General features: G+C 40.4%; 1 protein-coding gene across 5 annotated transcripts in view; it reads right to left on the bottom strand.

Moving 5' to 3' along the window:
• Positions 1 to 4,394: 4,394 nt before the first annotated feature.
• POTEE (POTE ankyrin domain family member E) overlaps positions 4,395 to 16,922 on the bottom strand; it is a 55,743-nt gene continuing 43,215 nt past the window's right edge. For 4 of the 5 annotated variants that reach the window (XM_047444418.1, XM_047444421.1, XM_047444419.1 and 1 more), the window contains 3 exons: positions 16,574 to 16,755; positions 7,827 to 7,947; positions 4,419 to 6,318 (listed from right to left, as the gene is read on the bottom strand). In XM_047444418.1, coding sequence (XP_047300374.1) covers positions 4,990 to 6,318; positions 7,827 to 7,947; positions 16,574 to 16,755 — 1,632 coding nt within the window. In that variant the 3' untranslated portion in view covers positions 4,419 to 4,989. Of the gene's footprint in view, positions 6,319 to 7,826; positions 7,948 to 16,573; positions 16,756 to 16,922 lie in introns of all 5 variants that reach the window. The other variant, NM_001083538.3, reaches the window with a different exon arrangement.

Below are 16,922 nucleotides of genomic sequence, written 5' to 3'. Positions count from 1 at the left end.
TGGGCAAAACATATGAACAGACACTTCCCAAATAAGACATTTATGCAGCTAAAGAACATGTGAAGCAAACCACATCATCACTGGTCATTAGAGAAATGGAAATCAAAACCACAATGAGATACAATCTCACACCACTTAGAATGGCCAACATTAAAAGATAAGGAAACAACAGATGTTGGAGAGGACGTGGAGAAATAGGAACGCTTTTACACTCTTGGTGGTAGTATAAATTAGTTCATCCATTGTGGAAGACAGTGTGACAATTCCTCAAGGATCTACAACTAGAAATACATTTAACCCAGCAATCCCATTACTGGGTATATACTGAAAAAATAATAAATCATTCTAATATAAAGACACATGCACACGTATGTTTACTGCGGCACAGTTCACAACAGCAAACACTTGGAACCAACCCAAATGCCCATCAATGATAGACTGGATAATGTGGCATATATACACTATGGAATGCTATGCACCCATAAAAAAGGATGAGTTCATGTCCTTTGCAGGGACATCGATGAAGCTGGAAATCATCACTCTCAGCAAACTAACACAAGAACAGAAAACCAAACACCTCATGTTCTCACTCGTAGGTGGGAACTGAACAATGAGAACACGTGGACACAGAAGGGTAACATAACACACCGAGAACTGTTGTGGGGTGGGGGAGGAGGGAGGGATAGCATTAGGAGATATACCTAATGTTAAATGATGAGTTAATGGGTGCAGCACACCAACATGGCACATGTATACATATGTAACAAACCTGCACATTGTGCACATGTACCCTAAAACTTAAAGTATAATAATAAAATTTAAAAATTAAAAAAAAGTTTTAAAAAATTTCCAACTGGATTTTTTTGTTTTTTATGTTTTTTTTTTGTTTTGTTTTTGTTTTTGTTTTGCAGCCACAGGAGTTTTAGCCAATTCAGATGCCTTGCTCCCCACAATTTGGAACATTCCTTTGGATTTGACCAAGTCAGGAAGAGATGGGAGAAAAGTGAAACAACAATAAAACCCCAAACATAAACAAAAAGAGTTAAGCAAAACAAACAAATGCACAATTCATATGATTAACTGAGTGTTCTAATGGTAAGGAGGAATTAAAAGCAGCTGATGGGTAATCTTAAATTTTAGTCATTAAACAAAAATTTTAAGACAAAACTCTAATTCTGCTACTTACCTGGAAATAAGGCTCAGACTGGGTGATCATTCTCTGCCATCTTAGAAGCTGGAAAAACTTACACTCACCTTCCCTGTCAGAAGCAAGCTGAAACTCAGGAAAGGAGGTGCCTGCTCTCCTTTGTCAATGGAAGCAGGAAAACTTGCCTTCCTTGTTGGAAATGAGTAAAACTTCAAAAAAGGAGTTGTACAGCAAAATCAACCTTACATCTCAACCAAATTTTCGGAGATCAGGGACTCTGTGAAGGGGAGAAGCTCCACAACCTCAGCAAATTATCCTATTGGTTTGGGCAATACAAATAGCCCAGGTTGGTATCAAGCAATAATGAGATTTATCAAAGGTCAGGACCACCTTTGTAATGTCCTTCTCTTTTTTTATCTTTATTGGTAGAGTCTGTTTTGTCAGAAACTGGGAGTGCAACACCTTTTTTCTGTTTTCCATTTGCTTGAAATATTTTTCTCCATTCCTTTATTTTGAGCCTATGTATGGCACTGCACGTGAGATGGGTTGCTTGAAGACGGCATACTCCAGTGGGTCTTGGTTCTTTACCCAGCTTGCCCCGTGTCTTTCAATGGGAGCATTTAGCCCATTTACATTTAAGGTTAGTAATGGTATGTGTGGATTTTATCCTGTCGTCATGCTGTCAGCTGGTTATTTTGCAGACTTACATATGTGCTTGGTTTTTAGCATCATTGGACTGTGTACTTCAGTGTTTTTGTAGTAGTAGGTGATGATCTTTTCTTTCCATATTTAGTGCTTCCTTCAGGAGCTCTCGTAAGGTAGATCTGGTGATACCAAATTCCCTCAGCATTTGCTTGTCTGAAAAGGATCTTATTTCTCCTTCACTTATGATGCTTAATTTTGCTGGACATGAAATTCTGGGCTGAAATTTCTTTTCTTTAATGGCAGCTGATGTGGGTTGGGGTGTGTGCTGCACTCCCGTGTGCTCTCAGGGCAAGTAAAGCAAAACCCACCCGTGTAAACACACACAGCAAAGTGATTTAGGAAGTTTCCAAATAAAGGGCTGCCGTATGGAGAGGCAATGTGCAGGCTGGTGCGTGGCTCTAGGGGCCACCTTGCTGCAGCTCTCCACTGATATGGTACAGTCCACTAGCATGGAAGCTATGGTGTGGGCATCTAAGAGTGCCCCGTAAGCAGGTGTGGCCAGGCTGGGGCCATGGGAGAGGCGAGCAGACTAAGGAGTGCTGAGATCAGACCAGCCCCATCTCAAGTGCAAGACTGCCCAGCCTCCAGAGATCAGGTCTCAGAGGAGAACTCTCTCAAAAGTGAACCCCCAGCACAGCACAGCTGCTCTACACAAACATGGCTAGACTTCTTTTATTAAGCAAGTCTCCTTTTTTTAAAAAGGGAACTCTCGGACCTGATCTCTGCTGGGCAATCTTGCATATAAGATGTGGCTGGTATGACCTCAGCATTCCTAAAGTGCTGGGACAAAGTGTCTCACAAGGGCAAGTGGACCCTAGAGAGATAGCCATCCCTGACCTCTGGGCTCCACATCACCTGACTTGCTGCTCCACCACTTTGCTTGTTTCCTGGGTGCTCCATCCCAGAGACATGTGAGTTAGCAATCACTTAGTGTAATCAGCCCAGGATGGAGGGTCTGTGCTGTGAGCCCAAGCCAGGGTTCCCTGTCTGGTGATGAGTAGTGGAGGGTGTGTGGTACCCGTGGGAGATGGACTGGCTTGTTCTTTGGGTCAACTGCAGCTTATTGGAGGTGTTGATAGGGCACTTAGGGTCTTTGCTCCCTTGCATCTTCTGAGGGTAGCAAGGGCAGTTCCACTGCAGAGGCAGTGGCAGAAAGGATTTCATTTGCTCCTGGAAGCTCTGTCCCAGGAACTGCAGAGTTGCTACTGGCTTGATAGCTCCAGTGGTGGGCTGGCTAGAGACCCAGGCCAGGAGGATCTGCCCATCAAGTAGAGAGCCCGGCCACTTTTCTGTAGGGCTGCTGTGGTATGCTGGGGGTCCCCTCCAGTCCCTAATTGCCTTGTATTTTCCAGGGAAGATGATAGTCTGCCCCTTCCTCTGGAAGCTCTGTACCACTGAGGTACGAACCTGTTGCCAATCTGAACACACCTATAAGATGTGGCTGGAGGCAAGTTGAGAAGTCTTACCTAGTCAGGACGAACAAGAACAGGGACTTGCTTCAAAAAAAAAAGTCTGGCCACGTTTTTATAGAGCAGCTGTGCTGTGCTGGGGGTTCACTTCAGCCCCTGGTCCACCTCAGACACTCTGAAGCCCTAAGGCTGAAATGGCTGGGTCACCCAAACAGCAAAGATGACAATCTGGTCCTCCCCCTGGGAGCTCTGACTCAGGGAGGCCTGAGACCTCTGTCGGCCAGAGAACAGCAGTCAAGGTAGCCAGAGACCCTGGTTGAAAGACTTCACCCGCTGACTAGAAATGTGGTCAGGGACTGACGTAAACAAGAGTCTGGCCACGTTTTTGTAGCGTGGCTGTGCTGTGCTGAGGTACCTCTTCCACCCCTTGTCAGCTTGGGCTCTCCAAAGCCCGCAGGCCAGAATGGCTAGTCACCAAAAGAGCAAAGGTGGGGGCCTGCCCCTCTCCGGGAGCTCTGTCCCAGGAACATTTCACATTTCCATTGGCCAAGGAATGCTGGTGGGGGTAGCTGGAGGCCCCAGTTGGGAGGTCCTGTCCAGTGAGGTGGAACAGGATCAGGGGCCTGCTTACAGAAGCAGTCTGGCCATGATTTGGTAAAGCAGCTATGCTGTGCTGTGGGATCTCTTCTGTCCCTCGTCGGTTTGTACTCTCCAAAGCCCGCAGGCTGGAATGACTAAGTTGCCTGAACGGGAAAGATGGCGGCCTGCCCCGTCTTTTCTCTCAGAGTTTTATCTTGTTTCGTGGAGCTTAATTTTTAGCCTGTTGATTTTACTGTCTACATTAGACTTGTTGAGAAAGAATCTGTTCTCTTTTAGGTGAGATAAATGAGAATTCATTGTCTTCTGTAAATAAACCTGTTCATGTCTTGTTCTCTGGAAAGAAGTCTCTTTCAGCTATCTGACTTTGGTCACAATCATGTAGAGCAGCAGCCAGTCTACAATGACGTAATTGAATTTCCATTTCCAGTGTTTCCTCGTTGTGTCTTACATTGTCCAGTTCAGAACTGAGCATTTTATTCTCAGTTGTCAACATGCTAAGCTGTCCACTGTACTGAAATACTGTGCTTCCTCAATTTTTTTTAAGGTGTGCACTTTTATCCAACTCTCCTCAAGTCAGAGTACAGGTAAGCCCTGGCTGCCTCCAGCCACTCTCAGGGAGACCAAAAGCCTTCATACACCCCAAGTTGGGGTACAAAAGAGGGGGGCCACGAAGGCTGATCATTCAAAATAAAACAAAATTAAAAAGTATTAAGGCGAAGATTCAAAAAATTTTGCATTATGTAATTTGCACAAAAGCAATGCTATCACCTCCCCTGTGTGAACTAGGGAGAGGACTGGGCCATTCTCCTTAGAGAGAAGTGGGATGGCTTTTAGCAGGGCAAGGGGCTTCCTGAAACAATGCGTCTCACAATATTTGGAATGACTATTGAAAAGAAGAACAATGTACAATCAAAGTCCTTGGCAACATTGTAGAACTTTGGAGGAAGCTTCCTCCAACCGACTGCTGTCACCTTCACCATTCCGGTTTTTAAATCCTGAGTCAAGCCAATAAAAAACAAAACAAAAAATGAAACAAGAAAACAAATAAAGCCATGCCAATCTCATGTTGTTTTCTGAGAAGTTTGGTTTTGTCAAGAAAGGGTGTAACGCAACTAAGTCAGAGTCCACCTAGAAGCATTTGCGGTGGACAATGGAGGGGCCTGACTCATCATACTCCTGCTTGCTGATCCACATCTGCTGGAAGGTGGACAGCGAGGCCAGGATGGAGCCACCGACCCACACGGAGTACTTGCGCTTGGGAGGAGCAATGATCCTGATCTTCATCATGCTAGGCGCCAGGGCAGCGATCTCCTTCTGCATTCTGTGGGCCATGCCAGGGTACATGGTGGTGCCGCCAGACAGCACTGTGTTGGTGTACAGGTCTTTGCGGATGTCCACATCAGACTTCATGATGGAGTTGAAGGTAGTTTCATGGATGCCACAGGATTCCATGCCCAGGAAGCAAGGCTGGAAGAGCGCCTCGGGGCAGCGGAACCGCTCGTTGCCGATGGTGATGACCTGGCCATCGGGCAGCTCGTAGCTCTTCTCTAGGGAGGAGCTGGAGGCCGCCGTGGCCATCTCCTGCTCGAAGTCCAGGGCAACATAGCACAGCTTCTCTTTGATGTCACGCACGATTTCCCGCTCGGCCATGGTGGTGAACCTATAGCCACGCTCGGTGAGGATCTTCATGAGGTAGTCAGGCAGTTCCCGCCCAGCCAGGTCTAGGCGCAGGGTGGCATGGGGGAGGGCATTCCCCTCATAGATGGGCACAGTGTGGGTGACCCCGTCACCAGAGTCCATCACGATGCCAGTAGTACGGCCAGAGGTGTACAGGGACGGCACGGCCTGGATGGCCACGTACATGGCTGGGGTGTTGAAGGTCTCAAACATGATCTGGGTCATCTTCTCGCGGTTGGCCTTGGGGTTCAGGGGGGCCTCGGTCAGCAGGATGGGGTGCTCCTCGGGAGCCACACGCAGCTCGTTGTAGAAGGTGTGGTGCCAGATCTTCTCCATGTCATCCCAGTTGGTGATGATGCCGTGTTCCATGGGGTACTTCAGGGTCAGGATGCCTCTCTTGCTCTGGGCCTCCTTGCCCACATAGGACTCTTTCTGATGCATGCCCCCCATCATGCCCTGCTGCCTGGGGCGCCCCACGATGGAAGGGAAGACAGCCCGGGGGGCATCGTCGCCCGCAAAGCCGGCCTTGCACATGCCAGAGCCGTTGTCAATGACGAGCACGGCGGTATCATCATCCATGGTGAGCTCATTCAATTGTAGAGCCTTTAAAAGATTATCATTCTTTTTTTTCACACTTTCAATATCCTCCAAATATTTCTTTTCTCTTAGCTGGCTCTGATGTTTCATTGTGTCTAGCTCCAGTCTTAGCATGGCAATTTCTTCCCGCAACGTACTATTTTCATGCAAGACGTCTTTTTCTTTCTTACAACTAAGAGAAAGCTAAGTAAACAAAGAGAACTTTTAGTTAGCACTCAATAGATTGACATATCATGATTTCTTCTGAAATTCAAAAATAACATGTATTTGTATAATGAAAGAATCCCCATAGTGGATATTTAACTGGAAAAAAATTGGACAAAACTTCAAACCTAATAAGAGTGTAAATTCCTCCAGTGATTTATTTTTCATCGTCTTTAAATAAATATTTAAACTTTTAGGAATCTGCTCCTAAATTCCTAAAAGTTTAAATATTTATTTAAAGACGATGAAAAATAAATCACTAGAGGATTTTTAAGAATCCCAGAATTAAAAAAGCCTTTTTCTGAGTTACAAAAAACCCAGAGGCATAAAATATAAGATTAATAATTTGACTACATTTTTAAGATTAGGTTTACACTCTGATATCTAACCTATCAACCACACCATCCTAAGAGCCTTAGCTATGCATATATTTGGACAGAAGCAATTTCTCAAAGTTCTTTAAGTTTCTTTTACTGAAGAACGTTTTACCGATATTCTACATTTCTAATATTTCTATACTCAGTTATAAGAATTACATTTATTTATAACTGTCAAATCTAAGCACTGTACCCTTCTACACTGTACACATCTGTATCTAGGCATTGCTCTTCTACATATAATACTGAACTCATTTAAGATCGCGATTCTTAAAAGGAGAGGTCAAAAAATATACACAGATGCAGGATTTTCCCCAGGTCTGCTGATGCTACTTCTAGTGATCCTCCACAAAACCACACTTACTTCTGTGGTGTAAATATATAAATACAAAAGAAACCTTTTGTTTCAAAATATGAATGGTAAATAAGATACAACTTATAGAGATCTTCTTAGAAATCATGAGATTATTTGCCATTGCGGTAACTTTTATTTCCTCTTTATAATGTTTGAAACAGTAGTAATGGTGAAATAGGGGAAATATACTGAACTATTTCTCCAGAAACAAAATACTTATCAATAAATTATTACTAAATGTGTATCATGGCATGTCATTGTTTTCAAACCTCTTTACACTGAAATGAGAAACTACTTGGAGCAAACTGTTCCTCTCTGCAAAAGTAAGGATAATGGTATCCACAATGTGGCCTCTGACCCAGCTATACATTTCCTACTTTCTTATCAGTAAAAATAATCAATTGACTTCTCTATTAACATTTTTTAAAAAACTAATGTCCAAAAACGAGAAAATCTGTTTTCAGTAGCAAAACTTATTTCTGATGTGGAAAGATCATCAATTCTTATGAAAAACATCAAATACTTCTCCTTTGGATTGAGGCCATTGTGCAGGTCACTACTCAACTGTTGCAGGCAAATGAAGGTGAATTAAGAACATGGCTTTATCCTATACGTACGTATATAGATATATGACAAAGGATATATAGAATATATACACACATATATATGACTTAAAAATCCTTTATATTTCCAAAATACAGTTCTTTAAAATATACACACATATAAAAACATTTGAAAATAACTAAAGAAAATACCTCAGAATTCATTTTTTCAACCACTTCTATCTGCTTTTCTTCATGAATCAGAATCTCATCGTGTAATATTCCAGTGTTCTGTTCTTCACAAAATTGCTTCTGAGTATCATTTTGTTCGTCACTAGAAGAAATTTTAATTTTCATGAAATACTGGAGCTGTCCCTAAAATGATGTACAGGGCAAGATGGCGCCATCAGATGTCATTCACACAATGCATATCTGCACATTATTCCAAGACAAGGCAAAGGGGTCTCACATCTGTTAACCAGGTGTCCCCAACCATGCTGGCACCAGGGACTGGTTTTGTGGAAGATAATGTTTACAGGAACCTGAGGTGGGGGATGGTTCCAGGATGATTCAAGTATATTACATTCATTGTGCACTTTATTTCTATTATTATTAATATATAATGAAATAATTATATCTCACCAAAATGTAGAATCAGTGGGAGCCCTGAGCTTGTTTTCCTGCAACTAGATGGTCCCATTTGGGGGTGACGGAAGATGGTGACAGATCAGAAAGGCATTCGATTCTCATAAGGAGTGAACAACCTATATCCCCCTGCATGAGCAACTTACAACAGGGTTCAGGTCACACTCAGGACAATCTAATGCCACCGCTGATCTGACAGGAGGAGGAGCTCGGGCGGTAATGCGAGCGACAGAGAGTGGCTGTAAACAGATGGAGCTTCACTTGCTCACCTGCCTCGAACCTCCTGCTGTGTGGCCCAGGTCCTAACAGGCCAGGGACTGCTAATGGTCTGTGTCCTGTAACCCATACTCTTTATGTTTATTGTTTGGAAACACTTTCTACTTATATTCTTGATTCCTATGTATTTTATAAACAACTTAGAAATTCCTTTTAGAACAAGACAGGGTCTAATATTATGTTTTTAACATAGGACTTTGAAATAATTTTATCTGTGTATGAGAGAGAGATGTGAAATAAACTCATCGTTAAGCACTTTCCATTTTACTTTTATTTCATGCATATTAAGAATAAAACTGGGAAGTCCTAGGCAGAGCAATTGGGCAAGAGAAATAAAGGGCATCCCAATTGGAAAAGAGGAAGTCAAACTATCTCTTCACCAATGATATTATCCTATACCTAGAAAACCCTAAAGACTCCTACAAAACACTCCTAGATTTGATACATGAATTCAGTAAAGTCTCAGAGGTTACAAAATAAATGAATACCAATCAGTAGCACCACTATACACCAACTACAACCAAGCTGAGAGTTCATATCAACAATCCAATCCCTTTTACAGTGGCTCAAAAAGGTGTGAAGTACCTAGGAATATACTTAATGAAAAAAGTGAGTGATCTATATAAAGATAACTGGAAAACACCACCAAAGAAAATAACAGATGACACAAACAAATGAAAATACATCTTATGTTCATGGACTGAAAGAACTGATATAGTGAAAATGACCATAGTGCCCAAAGCAGTCTACACATTCTATACAATACCTACCAAAGTACCAATGTCATTCTTCACAGAATTATTTTAAAATGCTGACATTCATGTAGAACCACAAAAGAGCCTGAACAGCAACAGACATATCAAGCAAAAGGAACAAATATGTTGGCATCACATTACCTGACTTCAAATGATACTCTAAGACCACAGTAACAGAAACAGCGTGGTACTCGTATAAAAACAGATACATAGATCAATGGAACAGAACAGACAACTCAGAAATAAAGCCACTACAACCAAGTGATCTCTGAGCAAGGATACAAAAACATACACTGGAGAAAGTACAGGTTATTCAATAAATGGTGCTGGGAAAAAAAGATAGCCACATGTGGAAGAATGAAACTGGATCTCTATCTCTCACCATATACAAAAATTAATTCAAGATGGATGAAAGGCCTAAACCTAAGACCTGAAAACATTGGCCTAGGCAAAGGATTTATGAGGAAGACCCTAAAAGCAAATCCAACAAAAATGAAAATAAATAAATAAGACCTAATTAAACTAAAAAGCTTCAGCACAGCAAAAGAAATAATCATCAGAGTAAAACAACAACTTATACAATGGGAAAATTTTGAAAATTATGATGCTAACAAAGGACTAATATCTATAACCTACAAGAAACTCAAACAAATCAACAGGAAAAACGCAAATAATTCCATTGGAAAGTGGCCAAATTACATGAATAGACATTTCCCAAAAGAAGATGTACAAACGGTAAACAAGCATATAAAAACACGCTAAATATCTCTAATCATCAGGGAAATGTACAATAAAACCACAGTGAGATATCACCTCACTGCAGCCAGAATGGCCACTATTAGAAATCAAAAAACAACAGATGTTGGTGTGGATGCGGTGAAAAGACAACAGTGATACACTGCTGGTGGGAATGCAACTTCATACAAATCTATGGAAAACAGTATGGAGATTTCTCAAAGAACTAAAAGTAGATCCTACCATTTTATCCAGCATTCTCATTTCCAGATATCTACACAAAATAAAAGAAATCATACTCTCAAAAGGACACCCGCATACATATGTTTACTGCAGCACAATTCACAATATGCAAAGATATGGAATCAACCAGTGTCCATCAACTGATGCGTGGAATAAAGAAAATGGACGTATATACATATATATATATCTCACATCACATACATGTATCATATATATGTATGTGTGTATATACACTCACACATATACATATGTACATAGCTGAGACTGGGTAATTCACACACATACATACCTGAGACTAGGTAATTCATAAAGGAAAGAGGATTAATTGATTCACAGTTACGCATGGCTGGGGAGGCCTCAGGAAACTTAACAACCATGGTAGAAGGGGAAGGGGAAGCAGGCACCTTCTTCATAAGGCGGCAGGAGAGAGAGAAGAGAGAAGTGAAGCGCAAAGAGCCCCTTATGAAACCATCAGCTCTTGTGAGGACTCACTCACTATCACAAGAACAGCATGGAGGAAACCGACCCCATGAGCCAATCACCTCCCAGCTGGTCTTTCCTCAACACCTGGGAATTACAATTTGACATGAGATTTGCATAGAAACACAAAGCCAAACTATTGCGGGGGGGGGGGGGGGGTGGTTATCCTTATTTTTAAAATATCTAAATGTCATTATTTATAATTCAAAATAGCAATTTTTATTACTTATGATTTTGTTTGAAAATAAAATGATCTCGTAAATTTTCTTCATTTTTAACCTATTCAGTCAAAATATAGAAAAAGCTAGATTTGCCAGCAGAAAATTGTTAACAACTTTTTAATGAGATAAAAATGTATAACAATATCACTATTATTGTACAGAGAAAAAAGTGAACAAGAAAAGGAATTTAAAAACACAGAATATGACTATCACATACATACATGAACTGACAAAGAGACTAAAATCTCCTACTGGAGATTATGTTAGGACTTGAGCAAAAGCTTCTAAAAATACCAAAAACAAAAACAAAACACTTATTTTTAAGAAATAAATTATACAGAGAACACTTCTGGTTAAGATGATGTATCAAAAAAAAAAAATCTTCGTGAGAGCTATTATTAACCAAGTCATCATAACCAAAACTTTAAATCCACAATTCTGGAATATTAAAAAGTTTCTTTTTGAACATAGTTAATGGAAGGCAACTTTTGAACAGAAAATTTCTGGTTAAAGTTGACTCAAACTTAGGAAAGAATTGACCTGTAGCCATGGTAACAAGAAGCCAGCCAGAGCCAGTTCAAAATCTAGTCAATCGATCAATGACCGACCACTGGCTGTGCTCACCAACCAATATCAGTGTGAGCAGCTTGCTTCTGAAAGACAGCCAAGCAGCAACAGCTGCTCCATCAGAATAGACAGTGCCTGACCAGTATAGTCTTACTATCGGAAGCAAAAAATTCCAACTGTCTTTTTATTTCAAATACCGAAGGTCCATAATCCCTTGGAAAGAATTTGTGAGTCCATTACATTTACCACCCTAAAAAAACTAAAATACTAGTGGCCGGATGTGGTGGCTTACACCTGTAATCCACCCAGGTGGGTGGACTGCCTGAGGTCAGGAGTTCAAGACCAGCCTGACAAACAGGATGAAACCCCGTCTCTACTAAAAATACAAAAATTAGCCGGGTGTCATGGCACGCACCTGTAATCCCAGCTCCTCAGGGGGCTGAGGTAGGAGAATCGCTTGAACCCAGGAGGCAGAGGTTGCAGTGAGCCGAGGTCACACCACTGCACTGCAGCCTGGGTGACAGAGCGAGACTCTGTCTCTAAATAAATAAAATACCAGTAAAGTTTGTAATTTCTCTAACTCATTTTACCATAATTGCAATTATCATGATTACCAGTAAAAGAATAGTGAATAACCACAATATTGGGCTTTTCTCCCTAAGTGAAAAAATATTAATATAAAGAATGTAGCTTATTATAAAAAGCCGAAAGAATTTTTAAAATACATATAATTACCAGGCAAAATTGTTAAAATGAACCTTGTCAAACATTTTTTAAGTGAGAATCAATCAAACAATATACCCGGGATAAACTCCATTCATTCATTTAATACCTATTTATTAGGTAGCTACGTCTGATAGGCTAGGCCTCTTTCTAGGAAGTGAGGATATGGTAATGAACAATAAAAACCCTATTCATGAGAGTGAGATAAACACACAATAACAACAGACAGATACGGCAAAATACACAGTACGTTAGAGGAGAAAAACTAAAGCAGGAAAATGAAATCTTTATGTGTTTGATGGGAAGGGTGGTGGGAAAGTTGGGATGGCCAGAAAAATCCCTGCTGAGAAAGAGGATTTTTCTTTAATACAAAGAAACTTTTATTTGTACATCAAAGACTCTAAAAAATGATGATGTTAACAGAGTTGATGTCAAGACACAAACAGGTTTGAAGTTAAAGATGATAAATCACTTTGTTTCATTGAACCTTCCCTCAATTACGTTAGAGAGCATCCCTGGTATGTTCCCAATTGAATCTCAAGCCTGACGCGTCCTGATGATACAATCCTAATTCCTTTCTGTTAGTCCTCATTATCTCTCTTTTTTTTCATTTTCTTCATTTTCTCTGGATTAGGAATCGTGCTGGTACATGGTTCTTCCTCAGGAAGTGGTTATTCCTTAATGGGTTTCTTTTTACCCTTTTTCTTCTTCTTAGAAAGGGGATTTTAAGTAAAGAGCTGAAGTAATGGAAACAGTAAGCTAGAAGAATATCTGGGGAAAAAGCATTCCAGACACAGGGAACTGCTAAGTGCAGAGGTGTGCCTGGAGTCTTTAAGCACTAGGGATAGGTCAGGAATAGCAACAAGTTCAGTGTGGCTGAAACACAGCAATAGAGATAAGAAACAGAAGTTTCAGCAGGAGAGGTAACATGCCAGATGGTTTACTGCCTTTCAGTTATTAGGAGGAACTCTGCCACATACTCAGAGTGAAATAGGAGGCAATCAGAAGGGCAGGGGCAGAGGAATGACAACATTTGACTTATGTTTTAAATACATCCACTGAGATAAGAATTGATGAAAGGGGAAGTTTTTAAAAACCAGGACTATCAATTCCCGTCTATGACACTCATCTAAACTGCAGATGACGGTGGCTCAGATGTACAAGATAGACTGGCCTCTGGATATATTCTTCAGATAGACCTGACAAGATTTACTGAGAGATTAGATGTGAAGTGTCAGGACAGAGAGAAAGATCAGTCAAGAAGATCTTGACTGAGAGAGAAAGATCAGACACTGAGGTTTTTGGCAGAGCAACTGGAAGAGTTGCTGTTAACCAAAGTAGGAAAGACTACATGAGGTGTAGATTTCAGGAAGGACATCAGTAGCCCAATTTTGGATCTGACAAGTGTGTGATACCCAACAGCTAATCAAATAGAGATGTCAAGTAGGTGGGATGATATAGAGATCTGGAATTAAGGAAAGAGATCTAAGTTGGAGACATACATTTGGAAATCACTAGCATATACACAGTAGAAAAAGTCACGAGGGGCCAGGCACGGTGGCTCACGCCTGTAATCCCAACATGTCATGAGGCCAAGGCGGGCAGATCACCTGATGTCAGGAGTTTGAGACCAGCCTGGCCAACATGGGGAAACCTGTCTCTACTAAAAATACAAAAATTAGCCAGGCGTGGTGTTGCACACCTGTAATCCCAGCTACTCAGGAGGCTGAGGCAGGAGAAGTGCTGGAACTCATGAGGCAGAGGTTGCAATGAGCCAAGATCATGCCACTGAACTCCAGCCTGGGGGACAAAGCGAGACTCTGTCTTAAAAAAAAAAAAAAAAAAAAAACTATGAGAAAGAAGATTGAGGACTGAGCCATGAGAAACAACAATGTCCAAAAGGAGAAAGATGAGGAGCAGCAAGCAAAACAGACCATGATAAACGGACTAGAAAGGCAGGAGGAAAAGCCTGAGGGAGTGAGGTCCTGAAAGCCAAGTGAAGACGCCATTAGGGAGGAGATGCCCTCCATTGGCTCAAATATTGCTGACAGATTAAATGAGGTGTAAGAAAAATGCCTAGATTTAGTACAGAAAAAAATTAGTGATAATCTTGAGGAAAAATAGTTCTGGAGGAGTGCTGAAATTGAAGACTTACCGGCATTGAGATCAAGAGTGAATGGAAAGAAAATTTGAGTTCATGAGTGTAGACAGTTCTTTAAGGACAATATACTTAACGCTCATGACTGAGAATGATGTAATTTTCATCCACAGTCATGGAAAAGTGATAGACAAGAAATAGTAGCTTCCAAATTTTACATACCAGGTGGAGTTTTCAAATTTTATGTAACCATTATATATTCTAAAGGTTATAAAAATTATACACATATGGCATTTAGAAATGTCAGACCAAGGTTTTAAAGGCCCTTTGAACATTTCTAGATTACATAAGCTGATTATCATTTTGTTCATGCTTATACATAAAGACCAAGAAATACTAAAACTCTCAAGGAGAATATTTCTTGCTTGATAAAAATCAGCCAATTCTAGGACAGTTGACACTCATCAAATATACGAAGTAATTGATCACAGTAAAATACTGAGTTCTATTAACAGGAATAAAGTGGGAGAAATGCAGAAAATAATCTTATTTTATAAATGTAGTTTTCCAAATCATATGAAGTCACTGGAAAAATATGGTGAGGTGAATACTGAAATATATCCTTTTCTCAAAGGGAGGATAATGTCACACATGCAGGGCACTTTTACAAATAAAAGTCACTGCATTAGCAGCACCTTCCTTTTAGCACAAGGGTCAGCAAATAAGCACCTGTGGGCCAAATCCAGCCCACTGCCCGTTTTTGTAAGTCAAGTATCTTGGAACACAGCCATGCTTATTCACTTTACAGTCCATAGTGTCAGTTAGCTGGGTGTGATGTTGCACACCCGTGGTCTCAGCTAGTAGAGACTGAGGTCAGAGGATCACTAGAGCCCAGAAAGTCGAGGCTGCAGTCAGCCATGATCACACAACTGCACTCCAGCCTGGGAAACAGAGTGAGACCCTGTCTCAAGAAAATCAATATATGTAGTCCACAAAGCCTAAAATATTTACTAACTAGCTCTTTGCAGAAAAAGCTGGCCAACTCCTGGTTTAGTAGATCAAAGATTCTTTGATGTATTTTAATAAAAGTTTTACCAAATATACTGAAATGTTTATATTAAATATAGATCCCCATGTACAATCGCTTGGCAATATTCAGATTGAGGGTCCAATATTTCAGCACTCAGGCACTGACAACAAAAATTTAGTAACTAGCAATCTTGTTGCTAACAAGGTACAGTGTCAATGTAGCATGTAGCTTCCATTTGCAACACAGCAGATATTACAAGAATTTTAACAAGAACTCTTAAGATGTGTCATCAAACTAAACGCTTTAAATACATTTTAATTGTGAAATAATCAGTATACCCTACATCTAACCTCATTTTTTAAAAATGGTTGCATAATACATTATTTTGGGGATATGGAAATTGAGCTATTTCCTATTGATAAGGAATTAGACTAGCTCCAAATTTTTTACATAATACTATAATAAATGTCCTTATACATAAGTATACATATAACATATCTATACAAATATCCTTTACATGTATTATATATGCTTACTGTTATATATGTGTGTGTGAATATGCTACTCAATTAATGTTCAAAATGTATTTACCAACAGTATATGAAATGTCTTTTTCAATGAAACCATTTCCCCTGCAGCAACACGGATGGAGCTGGAGGCCATTATCCTAAGAAAACTCATGCAGGAACAGAAAATCAAATGCCACATATTCTTACTCATTAGCGGGAACTAAACATGAGAACTCATGGACACAAAGAGGAGAATAACATACACTGGGGCCTACTTGAGGGAGGAGCATGGCAGGAGGGAGACGACCAAAAAACTACCTTTCGAGTATTTTGTTTACTATGTGGCTGGTGAAATAATCTGTACCCCAAGCCTCCATGATACAGTTTACCTATATAATAAACCTGCACACGTACCCCGAAGCTAAAATAAAAGTTCACTGAAAAGAGAAGAAAATGCCTTTTCCCTCACATTTGCCAATACTGGTTATTTTTCAAATAAATTAATGACTGGAAAAAAAACGGTAACTGATTGTTTGCTGATTTTCATTTTTCTGATTAACAGGCAAGGCTCAATATCCTAATAAAAGTATAAAATTTGTTCATCATGAATATTAGCTCAAATTAGGATTAGTTTGGCAGCACAAAGTTACCTCCTGTTCAATGTTGCCATAGGCTTACCTGTGATACTCTTCATTCTCAGTGTCAGGAAATTGCTGGCTTTCAGGTGTTCTGCTCTTCCTTGGAGGAATTAATCCATCATCACCATTGCCAGCAGTGGCACCATTAGTCAGGTTTTCTGGGAATCCGACATGAGTACTTCCGTGCTTCTTCATTTCTTCGATAGCCATAAAATTTTCTAGCTGGAAAATACAGAGAATAAGAAATTATCTACTTTAGGCACATTATCTATTGATAATCAGACTAAAACCAAGAAAGATAAAATAATTGGTCTAAAGCTCCTAAAGTGGCATTACCTAGCATTTTATGGCACCATTCGGGATTATTCCATAATAATGAAAGAATAGCT

The sequence above is a fragment of the Homo sapiens genome, chromosome 2 (assembly GCF_000001405.40).
Source record: "Homo sapiens chromosome 2, GRCh38.p14 Primary Assembly".
NCBI classification, from domain to species: Eukaryota; Metazoa; Chordata; class Mammalia; order Primates; family Hominidae; genus Homo; species Homo sapiens.
The sequence above is the reverse complement of the archived record's forward strand: the minus strand, read 5'-3'. Positions and strand labels throughout refer to the sequence as shown.